The sequence below is a fragment of the Homo sapiens genome, chromosome 16 (genome assembly GCF_000001405.40).
Source record: "Homo sapiens chromosome 16, GRCh38.p14 Primary Assembly".
Lineage (NCBI taxonomy): Eukaryota > Metazoa > Chordata > Mammalia > Primates > Hominidae > Homo > Homo sapiens.
The window spans coordinates 35,528,036-35,538,261 of NC_000016.10; positions in this window are offsets into that span (position 1 = coordinate 35,528,036).

Genomic DNA, 10,226 nt, shown 5'->3' on the forward strand with positions numbered 1-10,226 from the left:
TGAGAATGCTTTGCTGCATCAGGATTCAGTGAAGCTGTTCACCGCCTGGAGCCCATGCAGCCTCAAGAGGCAGGATGGAGCTCAGAAACCATCACTGAGGTTAGAAAGTGAGCACCAAAGTTGAGGGAAGCCCACAGGAGTGAGCCGAAGTGCTCCCTTTGGATTTCCAAGTGGTTGCTGCTGCTTCTTCCATCAGCCTTGCTTCTGACCACAATGTGTTCCTGGTGCCTTCTTCTTGGCATTTTGCTGTTTGTGTCCAAGGAAAATAGTCCTGCATGGCAGTGGTGAGAAGGATGGCTGCCTGCTGAAGCTGATTTGCTGGTAAGCTTTGCAGCCTGTTAAGCAGAGCCTGAAATTCTTTCTCACTGAGTGGTGATTCAAACCTTGGAGGGTCCTCCCCTTGTGGATCGGCATTCAGAAAAGATTGTGCCTTTTCCTGAAACTCTGGGGATTATAGGAGATCATGCAGATGGCTGGTGTGGTTGCTCCAGCAGGTGGATGTCTCCTTCGTGGCTTGTGTCTGTTTCTGTCACAGGGGAGACTCAGTGTGCATGGGCTGCTAAGGTGCTCCTGCTTCAGGTTGAATCATGACATCCTAGGACCCCTTGCCCCGGCTCCACCACTGCTGGGATTTGGCCTGTTGACCCAAACTCTAAAATTGTGGCTAAGAATGACCAGGCTGAGGCTGTCCTTTAAGGCAGAACTTCCAGGTTAGTGTCTCATTTTTCTTATCCTGAAATTTTCCTTTCGACAGAGGCCAGAAGCAAGTCTGTGTATGGGAGAGCCTCCCTCCTAGAGCTGGTACCATTGACACATGACTCCTGAGTGCCAGAAGAGGTTGAGAGAACTCTCCCATCTGCACAGCCTGTCTCATGCAGAATGCAGATGGATCCAAAAAATCACAGGATGTGGGAGGTGAAGGAAGAGCTTGTAAAAATGAAAAGTGGCTGGTGAAAGAGTAGGAGGCATGAAGAGGATGAGACCTGCCTGGGGCAGTGCACATGTTTTGTTCCAGCCAAACAATCAGATGAGGTCTTGGTCTTGGACCTGGTGCCAGGGAATTCATAAGCCCCCTTTTGCTGTGGCCTGGGAGCTGAGGTCTTTGGTTCTGAAACCAAATGTAAATTTTGGACTCTGGAATACCTGTCTGTTTAACCAGTTTCTCTCTACTGGTGATCGCAGGAAATGAATTATCCTGTAAAATTTTGTGGATTCTTCTCAAAGGCTTCAATGAGTACACTGATTTGTGGTTCAGTGATGGATGTCCCTTTCCTCCTGCCTTCTTATTTGACTTACACCATCAATATTAACTATGGCAGTTATGGTAATATCATTCTTTACAACAGAGGAAACTTCAAGTCATTCATTGATGATATCAAAGCCTCATTCTCCTACATTAAACATTCTCCTACATTTAGCTTCTTGAATCTTCTATGTCCACTGTCTAGAAAACCTAAACACATGAAGTACCACAAACTAGAAATAAATACCTCAATAGGCACCAATCATAAAAGTAAATCCAAGAAGGAACAGAATATATGAATACATATATAACAAGTAAAGGGATTCAATTAATTAAAAATCATCACACACAAAAAAGCCCAGAGTCATGTGGCTTAACTGATAAATTCTACTAAACATTTAGTGAAGAATTAATGCCAACTCTTCACAAGGCCTTCCAGAAAATAGAAGACAGTTATTGGGAACACTTCCCAATTTGTTCTATCAGGCCAGTATTACCCTGATACTAAAGCCAGACAAAAGCATCACAAGTAAATATGAACATAGATGAATTTCCCTGATAAATACACAAACAGAAAATCTCAAAAAAGAGTGAAATGAATCAAGAATAAATCAAAATGACTGTACACCATGACCAAATGGAATTATTTCACAAATGCAATATTGATCTATCCAATAATCAATCAATGCATTACACAAAGTAATAGGATAAAGGAAATTAACAGAAAGGTCCTTTCAACAGACACAGGGAGCATTTAACCAATCCAATATTCATTCACGATCTCCCTGGAAAAGAGGAGTACAAGAAACTTCCTAGATCTGCTAAAAGGCGTCAATGTAAAACTTACAGCTAACCCCATAATAATAAAATACTGGTTGTTGTGTCTTGACATTTGAGAACAAGACAAAAATGTTAACATCCAAATAAATTACATAAGAAAAATAAACAAAATCATCAATGTGGGAAAATAAGAGGTTAGAACTCTCTATCATTGCAGAGGACATAATGTGAATATAAAAGTTTATAAGAAATTCATTAAAACTCACTACAACCAATAAGTGAGTTCAGCAACATCACAAGATACAAAACCAATATACAAAGTTCAATCGTACTTTTATGTACTAACAATGATCAACCTGAAAATAAAATTAAGAAAACAATTCCATTTGTGTATGTATGAAAAGGAAAAAAAATATTTAGGAGTAGATTTAATCAATTGCAATTTTACAGTAAAAAGAAAAACTGTTAAATAACTTTTAAAAACTGAAAAAAATAGGCATCAAGGTTTATTTAGTTAATATTATTCCATTATTCAGTGTATCCATTTAAACTCCATACAATAAAATAAAGTATATTTTAGCATTATTTTTAGTGTAATAAATACAGGTTGGTAGAAAACTCATAAATATAAAAGGAACTAATACTACATGTGCAGAGTAGCCCATTCTAGTTTTTCTATTTTACATCTACTGTAAATCAAACAGATTTTCTTCCATATTTTATAGTGGATCTTAATATAAAATCCAAATTGTTAAATATGTGAGATTGATTATAAGCTTGCCAAGGAGGTTTTTACTCAGTGTGGGAATTTGGAGAGCATAAAGCTGCAAAGACAGAAGCAAATGTTTTTGAATGAATTATGAGGGACAATACTCACAGGAGTGATTCCCACTTTTATCAGTTGACTCATGTGATCTTACTTTAGGAGAAACTGACTCTCATTTTAGACATTGGTTCATCACAGATGCTAAATGAACCAGCACCAAGTTTATATCCAGGAGAACTGCTCACTGTAGAGGATTTTGTCTCCTAGCTGATGACATGTTCTGTCTTTCATAGGCTACTCCAAAACTTTTATAATGATGGTAGAGTTCTGTAAAGTGGAGCCTCAGGCCTGCTATCCCCATGCTCCTGGCCAGCAGCAGCATCTCCCCTGAGCATGGTGACATAGGGCATGCCATTGACACCCAATTTGCTGGTGTTCACCTCCACATACTAAGTTGCTAGAGAATTTGCAGTGGATTTCCATTTTGCTGCATCTGGCTGTCCAGAAGCCCTGCAAGTAGAATGGGATGGTCAGGAGAAAACATTGAAAGAATAGATGGGAGTTCAGAGGCTGCCCACCCTCCTGCCCTCTGCCCACGGGCCACAGCCCTCACCCAGCTGTCCAGTGTGTATGTCTGCTAAAGGCTGCTGCACTTGTTCTCCATCACAGAGGTGGGGTGACAGCAGTCTGTGGGCACCACACTCCATGATCAGCCTCTACTGTTGGTGCCACAGCTCCAGGTAGAAAGGCAGGTGAGCCAAAGACAGGTCCCACCTTCCACATCCAGCCCACATTCCCACCAACTTCCAGGCCCACCTCCATATGCTGATGTGATGCTCTCCTTAGAGCTCTTGTGGTTCTTCAGCCAGGAGATGGAGAGAGTGGGGTTTCAAGAGTAAGGCAGTGAAAGTTGGTTTGGGTGGCCACCATGGTTGGTGGTTTCCTGTCCATCCACTCGGTCCAAGTCCAGTAAGGGGCCTCTGCTGGTGGAAGCACACATGAAGGCCATAGCTGGGGTGAGGAGCAGAGACTTATCTCACCAGACCCCCAATTCAAGGTTGCCGCTGCCCACCCACACCCTCTCTTTTCCCTCCTGTGTAGGGAGATTGTTGGCCTTTCAAACCCCTCTTCCTGGGCTGAATAAGGATTCCAGGAGCTTCAACATAATGTCCCCACCCAGTCATGCTCAGAGCTGGGCCATGTGTCCCCTCCCATTCCCTTCACTTCCCACAAGTGGCTGCTCCTGCTGAGAGGTTGGGGTGCTTCATCCTGGCCTAAAAACCTCAAAGAATAATGGAGTCTCCAAAGGAGCCCCCACCCACCCAGGGAGGCTGACAGGGAGGGTCCACCAGGAAGGGAGCCCAGCAGGTAGCCCAGCTAAGTGAATGAGCCAGGGTAGGCATTGGGAGCAGTTTACCAGGAGAAGAAACTCAGCCCCTTGCAGAGCGGGGAGCCTCAGAAGCAGCAGAGAAGCCTTGCCCCACAAGACTCTGAGTCCCTAAGCCACCCCCTGTAGAGCTCCAGGGCACTGGTGAGGATGGCCTCCTGGAGGCCTCAGCTCTTTTTTGTGCTAATGTCCAGGGCTGTCACCATTCCGCCCCCGCCCCCCTCACAGCTGAACTATTTTTCTTCTTTCTGGGGCTGGGGTGGGGCTGCCTTCCTGCCTGGATTCATGGGTAGGCTGGATTGCCTTACCCCCAGGAGAGAGGCACCAGGGGCCCAGAAAAGAGGAAGGAGGCAGCCCCTTCCCCACAGTGACCTCCTCGCAATTCACATGCAGCAACAGGCCCACCTCTCAGAGTAAGATGCTGAGGCACAGGTAGGAGCTGTGTAGAGAGACACTGGGAAGAGGCACCTCTCACAGCTCTGAGCTGACCTCCAGCCCTCCAGGGATGGGGGAAGGTAGACCCATTGGTGATGAAGACAGCTCAGTGAGCTGTGGCAGAGGAAGTTCCCAGGACTGGGAGACGACAGTGACTCAACGCTGCTCATTTCTAGACTGTGCTTTCTGAAAGTGGCCCTTCAGTTACCCCCACAGCTTGAGGCCACACAAGCCTGGGATGGCCAGTTAGGCAGACGCAAGCAGGGATTCAGGGGGAGTGCACTAGGGTGTGTGGGCAGGGGCAGAGGCCATTGAGGCAGGTGAGGAGAAATTTTCATCCTCTTCCTGGTCTGCCCCTCTCCTGGGGTCTAATTTCCTCTATTCCGTCTGCCTCTGGCTCCCTGGCTGGCTCCTCTTCACTCTCTTGCCTGCTCACCCCAGAGGTCCCAGGGGCTCAGCCCACCACAAATGGTCCCCAAGTTGTAGCTGACCCTTCCATGTCCATCCCATGAGGACCCTCATCTGCCTGAGTATATCTCTGGGCTCCTCTGAAACCAGAAGTCCCACCTCACTGACTGCTCCATGGCTAGGCAGCATCCACCTGCCACTGTTCCAGGCCAGAATGACTGGGCATTGTCCCCCTGCCTGCTCCCTCACACCTACAGCTCATGCCCCCAAAATGCTGTTGGCATCCTTCATACAACCCTCACAGCCACCCTGCCCCCTGCTGGGCTGTAGGTTTGGTCTCCTGGTGCCTTAACCCCTTTGTCCATCTGCCCCTGGGCAGCCACCTGAGCCCCTGAGCACTGCTGTGCTCACATGTGCAGTAGCCCCCTCACCCAGAGCCAGCATCGAAGTCTCCACAGGCCAATTCTGGCCTCATCACTGCTCCTGGAACCCCAGGGCCCTGTGCCCCAATCTCCCCATCTGCAGCATGGGTGTCTCTTCCTACCCCAAGCCTGCCCCCCAGAGCTCAAGACATCCAGAGCCATCTAATACATATGTAATACATACAAATTACATAACAATTTGTAATATGTTGTACTACATACACATTTTCATATGAATTCATCATAATACGTACAAATTATGATGTCATAATATATTGTGATGTGACAATACACATGAATTATCATGTCATAATACATTGTGATGTCATAACACATACTAATTATGATGTCATGATATATTGTGATGTTATAATGCATATGAATTATGGTGTCACAATACATATGAATTATGATGTCATGATACATTGTGACGTAATAAGAATTGTGACATCATAATATATCATGATGTCATATGCATGCAACTTATGATGTCATGATATACTGCAATGCCTTAATACAAACCAATTATGATACAGTAATATGTTGTGATGTCATAATATCATATTTATTTATCATATTTATCATATAACATTTTGTCAGATATTTTTATAAGAAAATTGAGTGAAATTTTGTAACATTAACATATAAAGAAGCTTACAATCATGATGAAAGATGAAAGAGGAGCAGGCATCTCACGTGGTAGGAGTGGGAACAGGAAAGATGGGGGAGAGATACGCCTCACTTTTAAACCACCAGATCTTGTGTGTACTCACTGTGACAATGACAGCACAGAGCCATGAGAAATCCATCTCTATAATTCATCCACCTCTCACCAGGCCCCACCTGTAACATCAGGGATTAAAATTCAATATGAGATTTGGAGGGGAAATCTAAACTATATCATATGACGATTAGAAAAACAGATGAGGTCCTTCACGTCTCTTTGAAGCAATTGTGAATGGGAGTTCACTCATGATTTGGCTCTCTGTCTGTTATTGGTGCATAAGAATGCTTGTGATTTTTGTACATTGATTTTGTATCCTGAGACTTTGCTGAAGTTGCTTATCAGCTTAAGGAGATTTTGGGCTGAGACAGTGGGGTTTTCTAGATATACAATCATGTCATCTGCAAACAGGGACAATTTTACTTCCTCTTTTCCTAATTGAATACCCTTTATTTCCTTCTCCTGCCTAATTGCCCTGGCCAGAACTTCCAACACTAGGTTGAATAGGAGTGGTGAGAGAGGGCATCCCTGTCTTGTGCCCGTTTTCAAAGGGAATGCTTCCAGTTTTTGCCCATTCAGTATGATATTGGCTGTGGGTTTGTCATAGATAGCTCTTATTATTTTGAGATACGTCCCATCAATACCTAATTTATTGAGAGTTTTTAGCATGAAGGGTTGTTGAATTTTGTCAAAGGCCTTTTCTGCATCTATTGAGATAATGATGTGGTTTTTGTCTTTGGTTCTGTTTATATGCTGGATTACATTTATTGATTTGCGTATATTGAACCAGCCTTGCATCCCAGGGATGAAGCCCACTTGATCATGGTGGATAAGCTTCTTGATGTGCTGCTGGATTCGGTTTGCCAGTATTTTATTGAGGATTTTTGCATCAATGTTCATCAAGGATATTGGTCTAAAATTCTCTTTTTTTGTTGTGTCTCTGCCCAGTTTTGGTATCAGGATGATGCTGGCCTCATAAAATGAGTTAGGGAGGATTCCTTCTTTTTCTATTGATTGGAATAGTTTCAGAAGGAATGGTACCAATTCCTCCTTCTACCTCTGGTAGAATTCGGCTGTGAATCCATCTGGTCCCGGACTCTTTTTGGTTGGTAAGCTATTGATTATTGCCGCAATTTCAGAGCCTGTTATTGGTCTATTCAGAGATTCAACTTCTTCCTGGTTTAGTCTTGGGAGGGTGTATGTGTCGAGGAATTTATCCATTTCTTTTAGATTTTCTAGTTTATTTGCGTAGAGGTGTTTGTAATATTCTCTGATGGTAGTTTGTATTTCTGTGGGATCAGTGGTGATGTCCCCTTTATCATTTTTTATTGCGTCTATTTGATTCTTCTCTCTTTTCCTCCTTATTAGTCTTGCTAGTGGTCTATCAATTTTGTTGATCCTTTCAAAAAACCAGCTCCTGGATTCGTTAATTTTTTGAAGGGTTTTTTGTGTCTCTATTTCCTTCAGTTCTGCTCTGATTTTAGTTATTTCTTGCCTTCTGCTAGCTTTTGAATGTGTTTGCTCTTGCTTTTCTAGTTCTTTTAATTGTGATGTTAGGGTGTCAATTTTAGATCTTTCCTGCTTTCTCTTGTGGGCATTTAGTGCTATAAATTTCCCTCTACACACTGCTTTGACTGTGTCCCAGAGATTCTGGTATGTTGTGTCTTTGTTCTCGTTGGTTTCAAAGAACATCTTTATTTCTGCCTTCATTTCGTTTTGTACCCAGTAGTCATTCAGGAGCAGCTTGTTCAGTTTCCATGTAGTTAAGTGGTTTTGAGTGAGTTTCTTAATCCTGAGTTCAAGTTTGATTGCACTGTGGTCTGAGAGACAGTTTGTTATAATTTCTGTTCTTTTACATTTGCTGAGGAGAGCTTTACTTCCAACTATGTGGTCAATTTTGGAATAGGTGTGGTGTGGTGCTGAAAAAAATGTATATTCTGTTGATTTGGGGTGGAGAGTTCTGTAGATGTCTATTAGGTCTGCTTGGTGCAGAGCTGAGTTCAATTCCTGGGTATCCTTGTTAACTTTCTGTCTCGTTGATCTGTCTAATGTTGACAGTGGGGTGTTAAAGTCTCCTATTATTATTGTGTGGGAGTCTAAGTCTCTTTGTAGGTCACTCAGGACTTGCTTTATGAATCTGGGTGCTCCTGTATTGGGTGCATATATATTTAGGATAGTTAGCTCTTCTTGTTGAATTGATCCCTTTACCATTATGTAATGGCCTTCTTTGTCTCTTTTGATCTTTGTTGGTTTAAAGTCTGTTTTATCAGAGACCAGGGTTGCAACCCCTGCCTTTTTTTTGTTTTCCATTTGCTTGGTAGAACTTCCTCCATCCTTTTATTTTGAGCCTATGTGTGTCTCTGCACGTGAGATGGGTTTCCTGAATACAGCACACTGATGGGTCTTGACTCTTTATCCAATTTGCCAGTCTGTGTCTTTTAAGTGGAGCATTTAGTCCATTTACATTTAAAGTTAATATTGTTATGTGTGAATTTGATCCTGTCATTTTGATGTTAGCTGTTTATTTTGCTCGTTAGTTGATGCAGTTTCTTCCTAGCCTCGATGGTCTTTACAATTTGGCGTGATTTGGCAGCGGCTGGTACCAGTTATTCCTTTCCATGTTTAGCGCTTCCTTCAGGAGCTCTTTTAGGGCAGGCCTGGTGGTGACAAAATCTCTCAGAATTTGCTTGTCTGTAAAGTATTTTATTTCTCCTTCACTTATGAAGCTTAGTTTGGCTGGATATGAAATTCTGGGTTGAAAATTCTTTTCTTTAATAATGTTGAATATTGGCCCCCACTCTCTTCTGGCTTGTAGAGTTTCTGCCAAGAGATCCGCTGTTAGTGTGATGGGCTTCCCTTTGTGGGTAACCCGACCTTTCTCTCTGGCTGCCCTTAACATTTTTTCCTTCATTTCAACTTTGGTGAATCTGACAATTATGTGTCTTGGAGTTGCTCTTCTCGAGGAGTATCTTTGTGGCGTTCTCTGTATTTCCTGAATCTGAATGTTGGCCTGCCTTGCTAGATTGGGGAAGTTCTCCTGGATAATATCCTGCAGAGTGTTTTCCAACTTGGTTCCATTCTCCCCGTCACTTTCAGGTACACCAATCAGAAGTAGATTTGGTCTTTTCACATAGTCCCATATTTCTTGGAGGCTTTGTTTGTTTCTTTTTATTCTTTTTTCTCTAAACTTCCCTTCTCGCTTCATTTCATTCATTTGATCTTCCATCACTGATGCCCTTTCTTCCAGTTGATCGTATCAGCTCCTGAGGCTTGTGCTTTCTTCACGTAGTTCTCGAGCCTTGGCTTTCAGCTCCATCAGCTCCTTTAAGCACTTCTCTGTATTGGTTATTCTAGTTATACATTCCTCTAAGTTTTTTTCAAAGTTTTCAACTTCTTTGTCTTTGGTTTGAATTTCCTCCTGTAGCTCGGAGTAAGTAGTTTGATCATCTGAAGCCTTCTTCTCTCAACTCATCAAAGTCAGGAACACTTTTACACTGTTGGTGGGACTGTAAACTAGTTCAACCATTGTGGAAGTCAGTGTGGCAATTCCTCAGGGATCTAGAACTAGAAATATCATTTGACCCAGCCATCCCATTACTGGGTATATACCCAAAGGACTATAAATCATGCTGCTATAAAGACACATGCACACGTATGTTTATTGCGGCACTATTCACAACAGCAAAGACTTGGAACCAACCCAAATGTCCACCAGTGATAGACTGGATTAAGAAAATGTGGCACATATACACCATGGAATACTATGCAGCCATAAAAAATGATGAGTTCATGTCCTTTGTAGGGACATGGATGAAATTGGAAATAATCATTCTCGGTAAACTATTGCAAGAACAAAAAACCAAACACCGTATATTCTCACTCATAGGTGGGAATTGAACAATGAGAACACATGGACACAGGAAGGGGAACATCACACTCTGGGGACTGTTGTGGGGTGGGGGGAGGAGGGAGGGATAGCATTAGGAGATATACCTAATGCTAAATGATGAGTTAATGGGTGCAGCACACCAGCATGGCACATGTATACATATGTAACTAAC